Source organism: Homo sapiens, chromosome 5 (assembly GCF_000001405.40).
Source record: "Homo sapiens chromosome 5, GRCh38.p14 Primary Assembly".
NCBI classification, from domain to species: domain Eukaryota; kingdom Metazoa; phylum Chordata; class Mammalia; order Primates; family Hominidae; genus Homo; species Homo sapiens.
The window spans coordinates 135,015,811-135,035,030 of record NC_000005.10 but is presented as its reverse complement, the minus strand read 5'-3'; the positions used below and the strand labels follow the sequence as shown (position 1 = coordinate 135,035,030).

The 19,220-nt window shown below is 53.7% G+C and overlaps 1 protein-coding gene and 1 long non-coding RNA gene across 4 annotated transcripts in view, besides 7 other annotated features; one reads left to right on the top strand and one right to left on the bottom strand.

Annotated features, from left to right (window-relative positions):
* PITX1-AS1 (PITX1 antisense RNA 1) overlaps positions 1-1,757 on the bottom strand; it is a 311,407-nt gene extending 309,650 nt beyond the window's left edge. Inside the window, exon 1 of the long non-coding RNA NR_161235.1 lies at positions 1,491-1,757. This is a non-coding gene — a long non-coding RNA (PITX1 antisense RNA 1). The remainder of the gene's footprint in view (positions 1-1,490) is intronic.
* Positions 242-7,297, top strand: PITX1 (paired like homeodomain 1). 3 transcript variants are annotated; one of them, XM_047417318.1, is made up of 4 exons: positions 242-529; positions 1,082-1,318; positions 3,523-3,755; positions 5,710-7,297. In XM_047417318.1, exons 1-4 carry the CDS (start codon positions 496-498, stop codon positions 6,250-6,252), a joined length of 1,047 nt encoding a protein of 348 aa, XP_047273274.1. In that variant the 5' UTR covers positions 242-495; the 3' UTR covers positions 6,253-7,297. The 3 variants fall into 3 exon arrangements, with proteins under 3 accessions (XP_047273274.1, NP_002644.4, XP_047273275.1); NM_002653.5 differs by lacking the exon at positions 242-529 and having other exon boundaries at positions 803-1,318; XM_047417319.1 differs by lacking the exons at positions 242-529; positions 1,082-1,318 and adding an exon at positions 1,491-1,593.
* Positions 1,287-1,919: an enhancer, noted in NCBI's record as "H3K27ac-H3K4me1 hESC enhancer chr5:134368802-134369434 (GRCh37/hg19 assembly coordinates)". NCBI's record gives its function as "activates a minimal SCP1, AML or CMV promoter by ChIP-STARR-seq in naive H9 embryonic stem cells {active_cell/tissue: H9 hESC(naive)}" and the evidence as "EXISTENCE:reporter gene assay evidence [ECO:0000049][PMID:30033119]".
* Positions 3,090-3,297: a silencer, noted in NCBI's record as "fragment chr5:134367424-134367631 (GRCh37/hg19 assembly coordinates)". NCBI's record gives its function as "represses an EF-1alpha promoter that drives an FKBP-Casp9 reporter gene in an ReSE screen in K562 erythroleukemia cells {active_cell/tissue: K562}" and the evidence as "EXISTENCE:reporter gene assay evidence [ECO:0000049][PMID:32094911]".
* Positions 5,244-5,928: an enhancer, noted in NCBI's record as "H3K4me1 hESC enhancer chr5:134364793-134365477 (GRCh37/hg19 assembly coordinates)". NCBI's record gives its function as "activates a minimal SCP1, AML or CMV promoter by ChIP-STARR-seq in naive H9 embryonic stem cells {active_cell/tissue: H9 hESC(naive)}" and the evidence as "EXISTENCE:reporter gene assay evidence [ECO:0000049][PMID:30033119]".
* Positions 7,300-7,985: an enhancer, noted in NCBI's record as "H3K27ac-H3K4me1 hESC enhancer chr5:134362736-134363421 (GRCh37/hg19 assembly coordinates)". NCBI's record gives its function as "activates a minimal SCP1, AML or CMV promoter by ChIP-STARR-seq in primed H9 embryonic stem cells {active_cell/tissue: H9 hESC(primed)}" and the evidence as "EXISTENCE:reporter gene assay evidence [ECO:0000049][PMID:30033119]".
* Positions 8,095-8,684: an enhancer, noted in NCBI's record as "H3K4me1 hESC enhancer chr5:134362037-134362626 (GRCh37/hg19 assembly coordinates)". NCBI's record gives its function as "activates a minimal SCP1, AML or CMV promoter by ChIP-STARR-seq in naive H9 embryonic stem cells {active_cell/tissue: H9 hESC(naive)}" and the evidence as "EXISTENCE:reporter gene assay evidence [ECO:0000049][PMID:30033119]".
* Positions 8,897-10,096: an enhancer, noted in NCBI's record as "P300/CBP strongly-dependent group 1 enhancer chr5:134360625-134361824 (GRCh37/hg19 assembly coordinates)". NCBI's record gives its function as "activates an origin of replication core promoter dependent on BRD2, BRD4, P300/CBP, MED14 and CDK7 cofactors, with strong dependence on P300/CBP, by STARR-seq in HCT116 cells {active_cell/tissue: HCT116}" and the evidence as "EXISTENCE:reporter gene assay evidence [ECO:0000049][PMID:35650434]".
* Positions 9,477-9,936: a silencer, noted in NCBI's record as "fragment chr5:134360785-134361244 (GRCh37/hg19 assembly coordinates)". NCBI's record gives its function as "represses an EF-1alpha promoter that drives an FKBP-Casp9 reporter gene in an ReSE screen in HepG2 liver carcinoma cells {active_cell/tissue: HepG2}" and the evidence as "EXISTENCE:reporter gene assay evidence [ECO:0000049][PMID:32094911]".

Below are 19,220 nucleotides of genomic sequence, written 5' to 3'. Positions count from 1 at the left end.
TCCTTGGGGTCTTCCTTCTGCATTCTCCAAACGCCTAGAGCCAGCAGAAACGTTTCGTCTGATTAGAAGCCATCATTTCTATCCCAATCCCGGAAAATTGACTGCGGTGCAGAGAGGGAGGCCTGAGAAGCAGCCGTAGGGGAGAAGGTCCAAGCTAATTAGGAGGCAGCATCCGGGGGCCCATTAGAGCGCAGGCTGCTGTCACTCAGCCGGGCTGAGTTCCCGGGAGAAGAGGCTGGAGAAGGAGGGGCAGGCGGCCCCTCGACGAGGACACCGCTGGGAGCTGCCGGAACGGGCCCCGGGCTCTGCCCCCGCCCCGGCGCTGGCTCGAAGGCGCCCGCTCGGTGCGATCCTGTTCGGCAAACATTCACTCATCCTGGGCTGTTCTCGCCAGGGCTGGGGACTTCGAGGCGGCCGAGACGGGAGTTGATTCTAGGCGAAACAAGTCATTTGAGGCCTGAGGTGTGCACGAGCCGCCCGGGACTCGCAGGCCAGATGCGTTTCTTTTGTGAGGCCGAGGGAGAACTCGGTGTGTCACCGGGGAAGGAGGGAGAGGCGCGGCGAGGCCGCGGGGGGCGGGGAGGCGGCGGGAAGGTGGCTGCGGAGGGGGAGGGCGCGGGCGAGGCAGGGAGGGAGGGAGGGCGGCAGTGAGGGCGCGGCGGCGCGGGCGGCTTGGGGCTGGATTCCGCCCGCGCTCCCTCGCTCGCTCGCTCCCTCCCCAGCCCCCTCCCACCCAGGCCCACCCCACCCAGCACCCCTGGCGCAGGGACTGCTGGAACCTGGCTGTGCGCGCTGTCGCTTTAAGACAGACTCTGCCGGCGCCGTCCGGAGCCTTAGAAACCGGCCCCGGATCGCGAGCCGGAGCCGGAGCCGGAGCCGGGGCCGGCCGGGCTGCTGAGGCCCGAGCGGCAGGAGCGCAGCGCGGAGCGCTGAGCCAGGCGCCCAGTCGCGAGAAGCTGCCGCCGCCTCTGCCCGCCCGGCGCCGCAGCCCCGGGCGGTCCATGGGGCGGGCACGGCGTCGCTGCAGGCGCCGGCAGCCCTGGAGGGCAGCCGCTTAGGCGCTGCGCTCTTGTCCCCGCAGGTCGCAGCCAGGGCGGCGGGGCGCGCCCAGCCCCGGCCCCTGGAGCGCCCGCCGCGGTCCCCACCTCCATGGACGCCTTCAAGGGGGGCATGAGCCTGGAGCGGCTGCCGGAGGGGCTCCGGCCGCCGCCGCCGCCACCCCATGACATGGGGCCCGCCTTCCACCTGGCCCGGCCCGCCGACCCCCGCGAGCCGCTCGAGAACTCCGCCAGCGAGTCGTCTGACACGGAGCTGCCAGGTAAGCGCCGTTCCCCGCGCGGCGCGCACAGAGCCTACCCGGGCGCGGAGCACGGGGAGCTGGGAGCAGGGCCTGACGCCCGCGCCGCGCAACCAAGCTCCCTCTCCGCCCCAGAAGCGTCAGGAGCTTTCTTTTTCCCGTTCTCGACCTGACGGTGAACGCGGAAACTTACGCACACGCGAAGGCACTTCCACGCGGTCCCCACGCGCCAAGAGACTGGCAGATGCACGAGCCTACAGCTGGAGGGTTGGACTGACAGCCCCTCTTGATCAGGAGTAAATAGAACGGGAAAGAATTTGATTTGCGCAACTGGGCGCTAAGGAGCGGCTCGGACGAAGGGAGAGGAGGAGACCGAGAAAGGAAGAGGGGTGACGGGCGAGAGAACGCACTCAGAGAGACAGAGAGGGAGGTTAACACCGTGACAGTAGGCGACAGAATGAAAGAGACCAAAGAGAAGGGGCGGGCGGGAAGGGTAAACGGGGGGAGAGGGGTCATCAAGTAGAAGGGAGACACAGAGGACGGTGAGGGCGAGCGGGCCAACAGGCGCGGCCGGACTCCCAGCAAGGCCAGCCGGAACGCCGATCAAGGGATCCGGCCCACGTGCGCGGCCGAAGCCCGGAGCAGCCCGGCTCTGGCCCCCGCCCCGGCTCCTGCGCGTCTCCCTCCGCGCTGCCTTTTTTTGTCCGAGCTGGAGCTTTTTTCCAGCAGCGAACTGGGCCCGCGGGTGGCCGGCGCGGGCAGTGGGGCAGCGAATCCGCTGCCCAGCGCAGCCGGCCGGGTTCCGGAGGGGCTCCGAGCTCCCCGGTGTGGGCGCCTCTTCTGCGTTCATTTCTTAATACACAGCTGAATGTTTCTCTCCACTTTCTTAGTATCTGTTTCTCTTTTGCATCCCTAAGTGATTTTTCTGAGAGGTTGTTTGCTTGGTTAAAACATAATCAACGCTGAACTCTACTTTTGTTTTCAAAAGTTTTAAGCGCGGTCTTTGGTTGGTTTTATTTTTAAAACCTAGAGAGATATATAATCGTATATTGATTTTTTTGAACCAAATCTATGAGGATGAATTAATTTTAACTGTATCTTTCGATTCTGAAAGAATTAACGTACGAAGTGTAGGTCTGGAATTTAAAATATCTACATGCAACATTATTCTTCCGGAGATTTTAAAAAGTCAATCCAAAATGGCGCGTTTCTCCGGAATTTTCTCAAAATCCATTTACAGTGGTGTTATTTGGGGAATTTAAATTATCTAACTATAATGTGTTTCTCTGGGATTTAAAAATTATCTCTACAAGGGCCTTATTGGGAAGGAGTTAAAAATCTATCTACAACGGTACATTATTTTTTTAAATCCCAGAGAAATAAATGCTTCTGTCAACCTGGAGTTTATACACTTACAGCTCTGTATTTAGTTAGGGGTGTGTTTGTACGGAGCTTTCTGGCTTCTTAATTTACATTTGCTCTGTGTTTCTTCCTGTCTGATTTTGAGAATTTGTGGCCCTTTCAGTGTCTTTAGGCATAGAGCTGTGAGCTTTTCTGGGCTTCTGTGTTTTGTTTTTAAACTCTTTTTCTTTATGTATTAATGTTTCTATGACTGCGTGTGTTTTGTGTAGCTTCAAAGAGAGACAGACTAAAGCCCGAGGTCACCTAGACAGAGTCTGTCTGTCTGGGCTGCAGTTGGTGGGGTTTTCTAGGCTTTGGGACTGGAGGCCTGGAAGCAAGGCCGAGAACCCGGCTGTGTTGTGCCTGCCCAGTGGGGCTCCCATACACCCCTGAGGAGAAGAAAGTGGAGGGACTTTAGGCTGGAGAGATCTGATCCTAGTTCAGAAAAGCAGAGACCCCCTCAGATTTAGACCCCCTAAGAGTTCGCAAAACAAACAAACAAAAAGCATACATTTGCTGGGAACATCAGCAGCAGGGTCAGAATCTGAGCCGAGCTAAGGGTGCAGGCCCTGCCCAGCCAGGAACGCAGGCCCGCGGCTCCAGCTCCGATTCTTGGGCTCTTCTCCGCGGCACACCAGACTAGAGGTGCCTACTGACGACCAGCACCCGGCGGGCGCTTTCCAGTGGGGACAGTTCCCAGGAACCCTAGAGGGAGGGAGGGAGGGAAGACCGCCAGCGCTGGTGGCGAGCGGTTCGGTGGAGCCGGGACGGGGTGCAACGGGGCGTAAGCCCAGGTGACCCGCTCCCCGTCCTGCCTACTGCAGAGAAGGAGCGCGGCGGGGAACCCAAGGGGCCCGAGGACAGTGGTGCGGGAGGCACGGGCTGCGGCGGCGCAGACGACCCAGCCAAGAAGAAGAAGCAGCGGCGGCAACGTACGCACTTCACAAGCCAGCAGTTGCAAGAGCTAGAGGCCACGTTCCAGAGGAACCGCTACCCCGACATGAGCATGAGGGAGGAGATCGCCGTGTGGACCAACCTCACCGAGCCGCGCGTGCGGGTGAGCAAGGGGTGCGCGCCTAAGGGCACCCGCGCAGAGGGCTCCCGGGCCGCCTCTGCTGCAGCCCTCCAAAGCTTAGACCCACAAGCAGAACTTCACTCTCCCACCATTCAGACCTGCTCCCTCCCTCCACCGGAGATCCCCACCTTAGGCCCTGGCCCACTAGCGTCTGCCAGGCCTCCAGGCGCCTCGGACCTTCAACCCCTTTGACCCTCATCCTACCTGATCCTCGGACTAAGGCAACCCCAGCCCAAAGACCTGTGCCCCCAGGGGACTCCCCCATGCCCTATGGGGCCCAGGACCCACTCAGATGTTAGCAGGATACCCTGGGCCAGAGACTGGGCAGTGGATTCCCTGCCGCTGGGGACCTCGGGAGCTGTTGGCCTTATCCCGAAAACGAAAGGGAAAGGCAGGTCCTGTCTGGCTGCCTCGGAGAAGCCTGAAAGGTGCCTGGGTTTGGGGCTCTCAAAACTTCCTGGAGCAGTGGTCCCATCTCATAAGCAGATTCTCTAAAAGCTCAAGATATTCTCCACCCTCCCCAGCCATCAGTAGGACCCTTTGCCTTCTGCCCTTTCCGGAAGGTCTCCCGTCAGGTGAGGTGGGGGGTGGCTCCGGGAGCCAAATGTCCTTCCCAGTCCCTTTTAGGATATGCCATCTCAGACCCAAGACCAGCCTGCATTCTCCCTCTTCTCACCCGTTTGGTTTCCAGTAAAAGCAAGGCTTTCCTGCCAGGGTAGCAAGAGAATCATTTCTTCCCTGGGGGCGTAAATATTTAATCAGATATTGGGAGCACCTCCCAAGTCGACCAAAATCCCAGCTGGCCCACAGACTCCTTACCATAACCCCAGCCCTCACCCCTCCCTAGGCAGGCTGGCCAGCCCAGTGGGACTTGGAATGAAGACACAGCACTCAGTAATCCTGAACTCACTAATCCTGCCCAGGTTTATGGTGGTAGGGGTGGGTGGGGGTGGAATCAGGTAGTGTCAGTGCTGGGGACTAGGGAAAGCTGAGAAGCAGGGATCTGGCAAACTAGCTCAGGAAACTCCACTCAGAACTGGAGGAAAATCCGAGTGGGCAGAGGGCATGCGGTAGGCAGATAGGTAAGGATGGGGGAGGACTAGGAGGTTCTTACCAAATTTGGGGGGAGAAAAGGAAGGGCAGGAAGATTAGAAGAATCTAGTAAGAATAGAAAAAATTTAAATATTTGTGGAGAAACATATTTGGCATATATTTAGGCGGCAGGAAAGAAATTAAATAGGAAGCAAAAAGATCAGGTATTTGAGAAAAAGAATCAACTGTTTAAGGGGAACAGTGCAGGTCAGATATTTGGAAAGGATTCAAAAGCCTAATATTTGAGGACGATTCAAAAGGATCAAAAATGGGGGATAAACAAGAAAACAGACTGAGGGAGAAGAAAGAGGTTCAGACAGTGGGGTGGACTGAACGAAAATAAACATTTGGAGCCAAAAAGAAAACATCAAATATTGCCGATAAAGATGATAACAAACTATTTGAGCGATGAAATAGATCGAAGAATTGGGGGAGTCGGAAAGTCCTATGTCTCAGGGAGGAAAAATACCTTTTGTATTTGAGGGAGAATAAAAAGACTGAAATATTTAGTAGATAGAGCGAACCTGTTTGGGGGAGAAGGCAGAGGTGAACTGGTTGAGAGAGGAAGAAAGAAAACGAATATCTGTTAAACGAGAATCCGTATTCGGAGAAGAAAACGGATATAATTTCGGGAGAGGATAAAGATCGGAAAAAGAAATTAGTATTTTCTGGGGACAGGAAAGGAACCATTGTGGAGGGAATGCAGGAGCGGAAATATCGGTCGAAGGAGAGAAACGACGTTCGGAGGGCAGCGGGCCGACGGAAGGCTCCAGGCGGTGGGGAAGGGGGTGGGGTCCCTCCCGGCCCGCAGCGGCCCTGACCCTTCTCCCGTCCCCTCCCCCAGGTCTGGTTCAAGAACCGGCGAGCCAAGTGGCGTAAGCGCGAGCGTAACCAGCAGCTGGACCTGTGCAAGGGTGGCTACGTGCCGCAGTTCAGCGGCCTAGTGCAGCCCTACGAGGACGTGTACGCCGCCGGCTACTCCTACAACAACTGGGCCGCCAAGAGCCTGGCGCCAGCGCCGCTCTCCACCAAGAGCTTCACCTTCTTCAACTCCATGAGCCCGCTGTCGTCGCAGTCCATGTTCTCAGCACCCAGCTCCATCTCCTCCATGACCATGCCGTCCAGCATGGGCCCAGGCGCCGTGCCTGGCATGCCCAACTCGGGCCTCAACAACATCAACAACCTCACCGGCTCCTCGCTCAACTCGGCCATGTCGCCGGGCGCTTGCCCGTACGGCACTCCCGCCTCGCCCTACAGCGTCTACCGGGACACGTGCAACTCGAGCCTAGCCAGCCTGCGGCTCAAGTCCAAACAGCACTCGTCGTTTGGCTACGGCGGCCTGCAGGGCCCGGCCTCGGGCCTCAACGCGTGCCAGTACAACAGCTGACCGCCCCGCCGCACCACGCGGGCCGGCGGCCGGAGCGGGGAAGGGCGCGGGCGCGGGCGCGGAGGACGCACGCGGGGCCCCGGCTCGCAAGCCCCAGCTCACCGCGCCGCGGACCTCACACCTGCGCAGCCCCCTCCTCCCACTTCCCACTCCGGGTTGGTTTTGTGTTTGCTTTTCCGGACCCCACTCTGCCCTCCAAAAAGACAAAAAAAAAAAAAAAAAAAAAAAAGCAAAAAGACGTCGGAGAAAAGTGCCGCGAAAAAATGGATGAGTTGCAATTTCTCTCGGGATGGCGCGGGTGGTGTGTGTGTTCCCACGGGCCCCGGAGGCCCACTCCGCGGAGGGCACGCGGCGCGGTAGGCGAGCGCCGAGGCCCAGCGGCCGGGGGAGGACGACCTCGTATCCCGCGTCCCCGCCGCGCTGGATCCGGACTGAGTGGCCGGGCCTGCGGACTGGATGTGCGGGGCCTGGACTTGCCTAGGATTTCCCGACCCCGTACAAACCAAGTTGCCCTCTCCGAGCTAGGCCCGGCCGAGAGCGCCTTAGCTCGAGTCGGATCCGTGTTGGGGCGGGCGTTGGGTTTGGGGGGACGGTGCCCCCAGCCCAGGATCGGGCACTCAGTGGAGCCGCACACGGCCCCGGCGCGCCTGGTAGAGCCTCGCTGGCCCCGCGCCCCGGAGCCCTATATTAAGGCCACGGAGCGACAGCGGGCAGTGCGGGCCTGGCGGGAGGTGGGGGAGGTCCATCTCAGAACACCCCAGCCTTGAGCTTAGCTGCAGGCCCAGGCCCTCTGCTCTGCTCCCGGGCTAGGAGGTGGCCCTCTGTCTGGGCGAACAGCCCCCTCCTCACCGCCCGCCGTGCAAGAGTCGAGCCGGCAGAGCAAGGGGCGCGGCCCCAGGGCCCTGCGCCCACTTTGCACACCCGCTCTCCGGCCCGCGCCCCTGTTTACAGCGTCCCTGTGTATGTTGGACTGACTGTAATAAATCTGTCTATATCGACTTGTCCATGTACGTCTATTAAAACCATAGTCCGAGCGTGCTAAGCACTGCTGAGCCCCGACTGCTTCATTGGGCTGAGGAGGGAGGCGGATAGAAAGGGAACTGTGGGTAGAAAGGGAACCGGGCCCCTTGGGTAGGAGCAGAGCGCCGAGGCAGCCCCCGCCGAGGTCTGCCTACCCCGCTTCCCCACCACCATTCTTGACCTGCTCAGCCTGGCTCCCATGAGGGCACCGTCCTGCGTTGCGAGCCTGTCCGGTGCGCACCCGCTAAGCTGTGCCTCTCGGCGTTGTCCGCGGGACGCCTTAGCGAGAACCCCCTCCCTCCGCGGCTGCGGGACTCTACGGGTTTCTTCCCAGGCCGGGTCTGCGGTGACCCTCGAGGCCCCAGGGTGCTATGGGGCCCTTGCCTGCCAGGAGCGTTCGGGCAGGGGCTGCTGAGAGCCTCTTTATGCCTGGGGTTGCCTTTTCTTCTGTGGGCCCAGCAACAGCCCCTCTTCTCTCCTCGGAGCCAGGGCCAGGCTATTCCAGGAGGACTGAGGGGGCTGGATCTATCAGAGTATAGCGAGGGCCTCCCGCTGCCTTTCTCCCTAATGCCCGCAACGTGCCGAGAGCCCACCGAGGGGCGTGCGGCTGTGCAGGAGAAAGTGTCCGTCACACAGGACTCACTTCTCACTTCCAATCCATCCCAACTTGTGGGGACTGCTGGCCGCCTCCGCCCTCCCCTGGCTTTTGGAAACTACTGAACAAGACCAGCCTGTAAACTGCCTGTAAAATTCTGCTTCCCTTAAGTAAGTCATTTCTAATGGCAAAACAAAATGTTTGCAGCTGCAGTGGGGGAGGAAGGAGGGGTTGATATTCTGCTTTAGAATCACCTTATGATGGGGGTTGGCACTGCCCTGGACCCAGGCAAGCCCTAGCTAGGAGTAGGGCACAGCCACAGGCCTAGTCACGAGCTGACAGCTGGAGAGCCCTGTGCACACATTCTCAAGCCAGGTCAACACAGCCTTTGAGGTCAGGAGTGTTGTCCCTATTTTACAGATGGAACCAAGGCTCTGTAGCTGGGCCAAGGTCACACTGAGCCAGTAGGTTTTTTAATTCCAAAGCCAGGCATCTTTCCACTGGTTTTCTCACCTTCAGATGAGGAATGAAGAGAGGTCCTCCCTGGAGGATGGTCAGCCTGATGCTGTGAGACCTGGAGTGTGGAGCTCTGAGATGGACAGGGCCAGATACACAGGCTAGTGGGGGTGGGGGTGGAATAGGGCAGGGTGTTGGAGCCAGACCACCCCTCCCCCAGCGGCTCCAGTCCAGAGCTCCGACCCCTCACTCTCTGGGAACATAAACACAACCACATCTGGACTCAGGGCCTCCCTCAGCCTCACGCATCTGCCAAGGCCAGAGGGCCCTGGTCTCAGCTGAGGGCAGGAGTCAGGGGAGACCTAGAAGGAGGCGGGCTGGAGGAAAGTGAAGAGCAAAAAGGAAGCCTGTCCCGAAAGTCAGGTCTAGCACCAGGTGCAAGGGGAGCCACACAGGGCTCAGGTGGAGATGCAGTGTATCTGTGGGGCCACAGGCCAAACAGCTGCAGACGGGTCGAAGGGCAGAAGTAGTCCCAGAATGACCCCGTCATCCATCAAGGACTGTGGCCAAGCAGGTGAGTGAAAGACCCAGCTGCAGGCCCCTCCCAGCTGTTCCCACCCATCTGTGGCTGGCAGAGACTACAGCATGCAGACCTTCCCCGCTGCTCCGGCTGCAGGGTCATCTCTGAAGGGGGCTAGAGACTGTAGGGGGCTCTGAAAGCCCAATCCTCTGGAAAAAAAAAAAAAAAGGCAGAATTCCTAGCCAGCTTTGCCTGAAGAAGACGGGGAGGAGACCGCCATTCATTCAACATTGACTGTGCCCCTGCTGTCAGTGCTAGGATGGAGCAGTGGAAACAGACGCAGCCCCCGCTCTGCTGGACAAGTAAATAGACGTGTGTAATTACAACCTAGGCTGAAAAACAACAGGATGCTGTGAGAGTAAAGGGGGTCTCACTTTAAACCAGGTGGTCAGGCAAGGCCCTTCTGGGGAGGTGGCTCCATCCCTATGTTCAGTACCAAGCTCCAATGCTGACTGAACCAACACAAGGCCCCAAGCCCCAAGCTAAGTGTACACTCCTCATTCATGAGCCCCTTTACCTGCACGCAGCCCTGTGAGGCTGGTATTGCTATTCTTTTATTAAAGTGAAATGCCCTGGTTCTCCTCTTGAGGTCCTATTCCCCGCTTTCTGCATTATTAGGACTTACCTGTCAAAATTTCTCAACAGGTCACTTTAGACGTCATTTGGGATTTTCCCAGCTCAGCTTTCCGTCCCCACCTCTGCAGGGTGTCCTGAATATGAGTCATGATTGACAGTCTTCCTGGCCACACCCCCACCCCACCCCAGGAACTATCCTAGATTCTGGGCCCTCGATCACCCAGCCTATTGTCCTGTGGTACAATCTCCCCACCAATCTTTTGTGGGCCAGGCCCTGGGAGAGGAACCAGACCCAATTCCTGCCACCTACCTGGCCTCTGGGGAGAGGCAGAGCCCAGTCAATACCCTAAGAGATGAGCAGGGACAGGACGCGGGGCAGGGGGCGAAGCAGGGGTACTCACCCCAGCATGCTCTTCTGGGGGCGCCCAGCACCATGGGGCAAGGATGCCTGGACACTTCTTTTTGTTTGCATATCATGTTATGAGTAGCTAACAGCAGGCTCTTCCTGAGCGCCAGGCCCCAGCAAGCTCCTCAGAGCAATTTCATGAGGGAGGGATTTGTTATCCTTATTTTTCACGGGAAGAAACTGAAGCTCAAAGGGAATCAGTAACTTGCCCAACATGGCACAGGCAGCTAATGAGGGGTAGAGGCAGCACCTGAACTCAGACCCTCTGACCAGGGCCTGCGCTCGCACCCACTGTGCTGTACATTACCCTTACATGAATCACATTTGTATTCAGGAGGGAAAGGAAATAAAAAATTAGAATTCTCTTCAAGAAGCTAGACTCAGCTGGGCTCCAGGACTGAGACTGAAAAGGCCCCAGGCCCTAGGATTTGCCCTCCTAAGCTCCGGGCTATGTGACAGCAGCAAAGCGTACAGGTATCAGGGACAGAGGAAGCCCTGGGGTAGGGGCAGACAGAGGCACAGAGCAGCTTTTTGGTGAAGAAAGGGCCCTGAATTCTCAATCACAAAATCCAAGCTCCCACGTCAGTCCGGATTACAAGTTTCCTGTTTCCGAGATGGGGAGACCCCCCCCAACCCTGAGGCCACCCCCCCAGCCCCTGCTGGTCCCTGCCTCCTTGCCTCTCCCATCAGGGGAACCCCACTCTTCACACTCCCACGTTGCTTTTGCAGGTTCCTGGGTCCTGCCTCCTGACTGGCTGGTACTGCCCAGGGCAGGTGTCTACCTCTACCTGTCAAGCAGCTGCAGAGCACTCACGAGAGAGGGCCACTGGAGCCCTGGCTGGAGGGGCTGCAATTCCATGAATCAGACCACTGCTGAGGAGCAGGTCAGGGTGCAGGAAGCTGCTTGTGGAGCAGGGAGGAGGCAGAGGGCAGGCTGGCCCTCACAGGGGATGAAAGCTGCTGTGGCTGGCTGAGGCATATGTCTCACTCTGTGCTGTCCCCCACTGCACTTGACATGTTTCATTTCTCTTATTAGCTTCATTTTATAAATGGGAAATGGGGAGCTCAAAGAGGTCATGTAACCTGTCCTAAGCTGTACCACACCACTTTAGGGACTCAATCCCTAGCCTGACTGCAGAGTCAATGGGCTGTGACTATAAGCACTGCCTCCCAGAGGCTGGCCCTGGCAGCTGAACAGGATCAGTGTAGTCAGACAGCCAGCATGGTGAACTGAGTCAAACAGGTATAGACAGCAACCCCTCAGAAGTGTCTGCACATAGTAGATGCTCAATAAATATTTGTTGAATAAAAGAATTGAGGCACTTTAGGAGGCTGAGGCGGGTGGATCACGAGGTCAGGAGATCGAGACCATTCTGGCTAACACGGTGAAACTCCGTCTCTACTAAAAATACAAAAAAAAAATATTAGCTGGGTGTGGTCACAGGTGCCTGTAGTCCCAGCTACTCAGCAGGCTGAGGCAGGAGAATGGCGTGAACCCGGGATGCGGAGCTTGCAGTGAGCCAAGATAGTGCCACTGCACTCCAGCCTGGGCGACAGTGCAAGACGCCATCTAAAAAAGAAAAAAAAAAAAAAAAGAATTGAGGGAAGGCCCTCCCTCACCCCCACATTCCACAAAACAAATCTTGACCCTTTCCCCCTCTCTGCACTCCTTTGTGTCCTCTCTCTTGCATCTTCCCTTCTGCCACTCACTCGCTCACTCCTTTTCAGCACAGGCAGCTCTTGGCACCGCTTTTAAAAGTGTTTCTGAACAATAAAAAAAACAAATTCAAAAATGGGCAAAGGGCTTGAATAGACATTTCTCCAAACAAGATATACAAATGACCAATAAGCACATGAAAAGAGGCTCAACATTGCTAGTTATTAGGAAAATGCAAATCAAAACCACAATGAGATAGCGCCTCACACCCATCAGGATGACTATTATCAAAAAAGAAAATAACAAGTGTTGGCAAGGATGCGGAGAAATTGGGACCCTTGTGCATTGCTTCTGGGAATGTAAAATGGAACAGCCACTACAGAAAACAGTACGATGGACCAGGCGCGGTGGCTCACGCCTGTAATCCCAACACTTTGGGAGGCCAGGGTGGGCAGATCATTTGAGGTCAGGAGTTTGAGACCAGCCTGACCAACATGGTGAAACCCTGTCTCTACTAAAACTACAAAAAAATTAGCTGGGCATGGTGGCACATGCTTGTAGTCCCAGCTACTCAGGAGGCTGAGGCAGGAGAATCGCTTGAACCCAGGAGTTGGAGGTTGCAGTGAGCCAAGATCATGCCACTGCACTCCAGCCTGGGCAACAGAGTGAGAGTCTGTCAAAAACAAACAAACAAACAGCAACAACAAAAAAATAACAGTATGATGATTCCTCAAAAAAATTAAACATGGAATTACCATATGATCAGTAAGTTCTCTTCTGGGTATATACTCAAAAATAAATGAAAGCAGAGGCTCAGAGAGATATTTGCATACCCACGTTCACAGCAGTAGCTAAAACATGTTTATCGCAATAGCCAAAAAGTGGTAGCAACCCCAGTGCCCATCAGCAGATGAATGGATAAACAAAATGTGGTGTATACATATGGTGGAATATTATTCAGCCTTAAAAAGTAAATTCTGACACAACTACAACATGGATGAACCTTGAATACATTGTGATAAGTGAAATAAGCCAGTCACGAAAGGACAAAGATTGTGATTACACTTACATGAAGTTCCTAGAAGAGGTGAAATCATAGAAAATAGAATGGTGGCTGCCAAGGGCTGAGGGATGGGAAAAGGGGAGCTACTGTTTAATGGGTACAGAGTCTCAGGAAGGATGAAAAAGCTCTGGAGATGGATGGTGGTGATGGTTGCATAACAATGTGAATGTACTTAATGCCATTGAACTGTACAGCTTAAAAGGTTAAAGTGGTAAATTTTATGTTATGTATATTTTTACCTCAATTTTATTCCAAAAGTATATCTGTGTTTATGCCCTTCGTTACCCAGAGAGGCATTTAGAGGCTGGTTCCCAGGACTCCCAGGGGCTGTGTTCACTGTTTGGCAAACCTTTCCCTAGAATCCTCTTCGACCAGCAGCCCCTTGGAGGCCCCAACAATAGCTGACCCCTTGCATGGCCCTCATCCTGACTCTTCATCTTTCTATGCAGCATAGCAGTGGGACCCCATTAAGGACACTTCCTTTATCTAGCGTCTACTATGTGGCCAAGAAAGAGCAACCCGGGATGCATGACTTTTCTTTGTAAGTTTGGCATAAAATTAAATATAGATTCACTATTGCCCTTTTTCTTAACCGAGCTTCTCTGTCAAAAAAGCTAAACAAGGCAAGTAACAAAACAGTCTTAAGCACAGTGCCATTTTTGTTCTTATATATGCACAGAGAAATTTATGGATATGTACAAAGTGTTAATAACACCTACCTCTGACGGGGAAAATGAGCATTTTTTAAATTTGTTCCTTTCAAGGTCTTTTTGCACTGACAATGTATCAGTTTTGCAATGATGAAATAAAATAATGATTATTTTAAAAATACAAAACCCTGTGACCCGCAGGACAGGGAATAGCCTTCCGCCCACTGCCCCTGTCCTCCCACTGAGGTGCCAGTCATCACCTACCTGGGATGCAGCCTCATTTGAGGGAGGCCAGTATGACAGCTATCAAGTAAACTTTTACAGATTTTTACAGAAATGAAACTTTTGTTTTCAAATACATTCTTCTTTGAACAGATGTCATACTAGTAGGTGCCAATAAAAGTGTTCAGTGAGAAGAATTTATAACGATCTTTGATTACTAAGCAAAAGAGTTCAGTGTTTGAAGCAGGTTCTCCTAAGAGGGAGTCCTTCCCTTTTCCTTCCGTCCCTTCTTGCACCCTCCCCGCTCCCCAGCCTCCAACTCAGCAACCGATCTGCACCCCTACCTTGCCCTGACACACACACAACACACACACACACAGTGTGTGCCTGCCAGCCACCATGATCATGGAATCTTTATTAAAGAGGTCCAAATTACCAAGGTTTTACTACACTACTAAAAATAGTCATGCTTACTTAGCCTGTTTAATAAGCACACCATTTCTAATTTTTCTGCCTGAGTAAACTGAAACATCATTCCAGAAATACATTTTTACTGAAACAAGAAGGCTCGCTTTTTTCTTCTTCATCCATACACCGTTCTCTCTCTTTCCCCCTCCTCTGCCTCGCCTCCTGTATCTGTCCCCTGTGTCCCCCTCAGCTCCCACCCCTATCCTTTTTTAAGTTTCCAACATAAAGGGGAAAGTAACAGTAATTTGAACTTGGCTTTCACGCAAAATGGACCAATTTTTTTTAAGTGTTGGTAATTTGTCCTGAAAATGGATATCGGGAGTTGGGCTGGAAAGACTTTGAAGAATGGGGTTTTATGAGTGGAAAATGCGGCCTGAGCATGCGGGAATGCAAGCCGCCCCCCCTCCATGCCTGGGACAGTGCAGCACGTGTAATAATCGCAGCTAATAGCACCATTATTGCTATTATCACATTATATTATTATTCCTCATCAAAATCAGACAATGCTTATTAACCCATTTAATTGAACCAAGGGTTTAACATCCCAATGACTTCACAGAAAGTGCTTGGCAAACTCTCTAAGGCATCGTAGCCACAAAGTGGCTGGCCACTTCACCACCTGCCAGGCTGTGGCGGGGCCCAGCAAGGGTTTCCCCAAACCGTTCCCTCCTGTGGCCTATCTGGGAACTTTCCAGGACACACTGGGATGGATGCGCATCACCACCCAGACTCCAGCCTCTTTGTGCACACACATGCCCACACAGGCGCACACACACACACGCACACCTCTCTCCCGCTGGGTAAATGCAACTCAATAAAGGATACCCTTACACAAAAGACCCCACCCCAGGCACGGTGTGGCCAAGGATCCTTCCTCCATCCCCAAGCTGGCATTCCTATTGTCACCAAGGCCGGAATGAGTACAGGCACACACAATTCATGGTGAACCCCTGGCTTCTCCCAAGCTTGGCATTATCTCCACCAAGGCCTCTCAACTCTCCCACAGTCCAGAGCCCACAGTGGGGCAACTGAAGCCCACCCAGCCCCCCAGGCTCACAGAGACTCACCCAGCCCCTCCAGGCAGGGATATCCACTGAGCCCAGGCTGGTGGAGGGGCCTGGAGGAGGGCACGATCCCCTCGGGGAGTCCAGAAGCCCAAATCCTAGCCCGTGAGCTGGGCTCTTCCCAGGGCATGATGTCACCTCACAGAACCCCAGTAACCCTCTGTCAAGCGGGCATTGGCCCCACCTGCCTACCTCTTGGGATTTCCTGTCAGGGTTTGAAAAGACCCTGGATATGACCATTAAATATTGCTGTCAAGTAGGTTGTTGCTTCAGAAGCACAAAATTACTCATTTTCATCTCACTGACCTCGTACTGCTGGAGGATTTCTGAGTGAAGACGCTCTTTCTTGACCAACATGTCCAACCTCCCTCCCCTCCAGACAGGTTCCCCAGGGAAGCCTCTTGCTTTGCTTCCTTGGGGGTAGTGGCACTTCCAAGCCCCCAGCAGGGATGCTACACTGCCCCAGATCCTCCAGCAGGTCAAGAGCTCCCCCTTGGGTGAGAGGGAACCACGTCCCCCTCTGAAGTCCCTTAAGTCCTGGGCTTTCACCAGCCTCCTGCTCTGGCCAGCAAGGCCTAGGAAGACCCTGCCTCAGCCCACCCAGCCCAGCCTACCTCCGGGTGTGGTGGGGAAATGAGGGCCAGAGACAAGATCATGGAGGTTAAGAGCACGAACTTTGGAGTTAGGCAGAGCCTGGGTTTAACTCACAGCACCACCACTCATTCACTGCCACAGAACTTCTCTGAGCTTGTTTCCTCATCTGTAAAGTGGGGAAAATGTGAAAAGTTACATATGGTGTTTGGCACTGTGCCTGTGACAGATAGGCATAAAATAACTGCTGGGTCTCTTTGCTGCCCTCCTCCTCCCTCCCTCCATCAGGATTCTAAAGCTGGCATATCTCAGGCAGGCTGATCACTGGCATCCAGGTGTCAGGGACGACCCTGCAGTCCACAGCCCTCCCCAGCTGGTGCTACGAAAATAAATATCTATGGGTAGAGGAATTAAGGTCTGATACAAAGTAGGATACAAAAGGTCAAGGGTGACAGCATGAGAAAGGAGAAATCAAGGCTAATGGGAGCAATCTGGGAAAGCTTCCTGTTAGAGGGAGCCTGGTACTCAGCCTTAAAAGACAGGCAGAACTGGGATGGGTATGCAGGAGTAGAGGTGAGACTGAGCCAGGCAAAGAGGATCCCTGGCCTGGGAGGCATGGGAAGAGGAAGGAGAGACAGAATAGAGAGAATAGAGGAGCCTTAGATGCCAAGTGAGGGGGATACAGCCACCCTCAGAGGCAGTGGGAATGAAATCCAGCCAGGTCACTGCTTTGCTTACCACGATTCCCATCCCTTAAAGGCCAAACTGCCCCGCTGAGCATGTGAGCCCCTCAGGATCTGGCTCCAGTCTACTGCCCTAGCCTCCAGTCCCCCCACCCCTCACCCCACAGCACAGGCTGCAGCCACACTGACCTCGGCACTCCCTTAACCCTCACGGAGCTCCTGCCATCTTTCCTTTGTGCATTTGGTTCCTTCTGCAGAGAATGCCCTTCCACCTACCACAGGGACACACATACAATGTTTTCAAGGTAAAAACTGTTGTTTTTCCTGATCATAAAATACACACTCATTCTTAAAATTCAAAAAGTTCAAAAAAGTGTGAGGACAAAAGTCGAGATCCCCCAAACCACTATGAATATTTTTATGATTATCCTTGCAGATGTCCTTCATCAGACATAATGTCTATATGCTCATTCTATATGCTCACTCACTATTACTTAAAGGATGCCAGATCCCATGCTGCTCTAGAAAGCCACGTTTTTCACTCAATAAAATATCAAGAACATCTTTTCTTATCAAGAAATCATTACTTTTAATGGCCACAAATATGGATTCATAATAATATAGCCAGTTCCTCACCAATGAGCATTTAGGTGATTCCTTATATTCCTATTATAACAAGCCACAGTAAACATCCTTATCCATGTGTCTCTGTGCATTTGACATTTATTTAGCTCCTTGGGATAATTTCAAGAAGTAGAATGATTGGGTCCTAGAAGCACACATATAAAATCTAATCCACATTGTCTTATGAGAAGGCCACACTTACTTGCATTGCCAAAAGTGGACAAGGGTGTCCATTCTCCACACCCAGGCCTATCCTAGGTTTTTTGCTTGTTCGTTTTTGTTTTTTGAGACAGAGTCTCACTCTGTTGCCCAGGCTGGAGTGTAGTGGTGCAATCTCGGCGCACTGCAACCTCCGCCTCCCGGGTTCAAGCAATTCTTCTGCCTCAGCCTCCCGAGTAGCTGGGACTACAGGCGCGTGCCACCATGCCCAGCTAATTTTTGTATTTTTTTTTTAGTAGAGACGGGGTTTCGCCATATTGGCCAGGCTGGTCTTGAACTCCTGACCTCGTGATCCGCCCACCTCAGCCTCCCAAAGTGCTGGGATTACAGGCCTGAGCCACCGCGCCCGGCCCGATCCTAGGTTTTGTCTATCATCTTTGCCACCTAAAAGAGAAAAAAAAAAACCTCTCACTGCCACTTTATGTGTGGTGTTTTATTTATTTCTCCCTTTTCTTTTTCATTTTAATGCAGATGGTGTCGCATATGTATAGTTCTGCAGCTAGCTTTTTCCACCTGATAATGTTTTCTCTCCTTTTCCACTTGCCTTTTCAAGGGTCAGATAAAAAACTCCAGCCAAGAGTCTCTCAAGGCACCCCTTCCAGATGCCCACAGCTGCCACTCCTGCTGATCGAGTTATGAGTGGGTGCAAGGGCAGGCAGAGGAAACTGCCTGCAAGTCGCCACCCTAGAGGGCCAGCCTTGTGGGCATCCGGACACCGACCAGGCTGGTGCATCCTGCCTGCTGTGACCTGCTCACGCCTGCTTAGCACATCCCATCTGCAGCCAAGCCTCCACCATGTGGGCCTGCTGTACTGAAGCCCAGGGAAAGGCGATGTCAAGCCAAACCTCTCTCTCTGCCCAGGCTGTAATTTCCTGATTAGACGCCGCAGTCACCACCCTTTCTGCACACACTGATTTCTTCCTGCTGTCCTCCCAATCTCCCGGCTCCCGGGGCTCCCAGGGCCAGCAGACTTCAGAGCCTGGACCAAGCAGTGAGAAGGTGCCAGTGAACTCACTGGCCAACCAAGACCCGTCTGTGCAACCACCGCCCCCTTCTCAGAGTTAGGCCCCTCTCAGAAGGGAATCATGGCTTGGTTCTTAAAGTTGAAAAAATAGCTGCTTCAGTAAGAAAGAATAAGGTTGCTATGAGGCAGTAGAGCAGAGGGGCCTGTGTTCAAATACTGACTCTGCCCTTTAATGATAACCTTGGCCCAGTGAGTCTGAGTGCTGGCTTGCCTGCCTATAAAAGGGGACAACAATTCCTTGGAAGATTGTTGTGTGGCACCATAGCAGTGGCTAAAGAGCCAGACACACTTGGTTGTGAATCCTGGTTCTTCCCCCTTAGTTGTACAACCTTGGGTAGGTTACATCACCTCTTTGAACCTTAGTTTTGCCACCTGTTTAATGGGAATAAGTGTTGTTATGTGATTGAAGTCATACATGTGAAAAAATCTTATAAACAGAAATACTGGCAAAACAGAAGGCAGTATTTCCACAGTCAGTAAGGAGAACAGGCTGTGCCGTTGAAGCTCTGGCCTGACCTCTGTTTGGATCCCTCCTTCTCTGGGCCAGCATCAAGTTTTTTTTCTTTTTCTTTTTTTTACATTTTAGAGACGGGGTCTCACTATGTTGCCCTGGCTGGTTTCAAACTCCTGGCCCCAAACTCCTCCCAGCTCAGCCTCCTGAGCAGCTGGGATTACAGGTGTGAGCCACCATGCCCAGCTCCAACGTCAAGTTTTGAAGAGTTCTTTTTATCTCAGGCCCTGATCCCAGGGATCGAAGTAGCACTGGAGAGAGAAGAAGTCAGGGGCAGTGTTCCCCAAATGCCAAGTTGGAGGGCAGCGAGGTTCCGCTGCTGCGAGAACACCACCATGGTCCCATCACCAGTTCACACAGGTCCCAGTCACTCTGTAGTTTCCCAAGAGTTTTGAAACAGGCTCTTCATCACCTTCTGGTTTCTTCCACACTTCCCTTCTGATACTTTAGTTTCATCTTGCAAGAAGACAGTCATACCTGGTGCCACCACCCTCTGGTATGCTTCACCTGGAGGCCCCTGATCCCAGCTAAGGGCTCAGTCCATGGAAAGCCCTCTTAG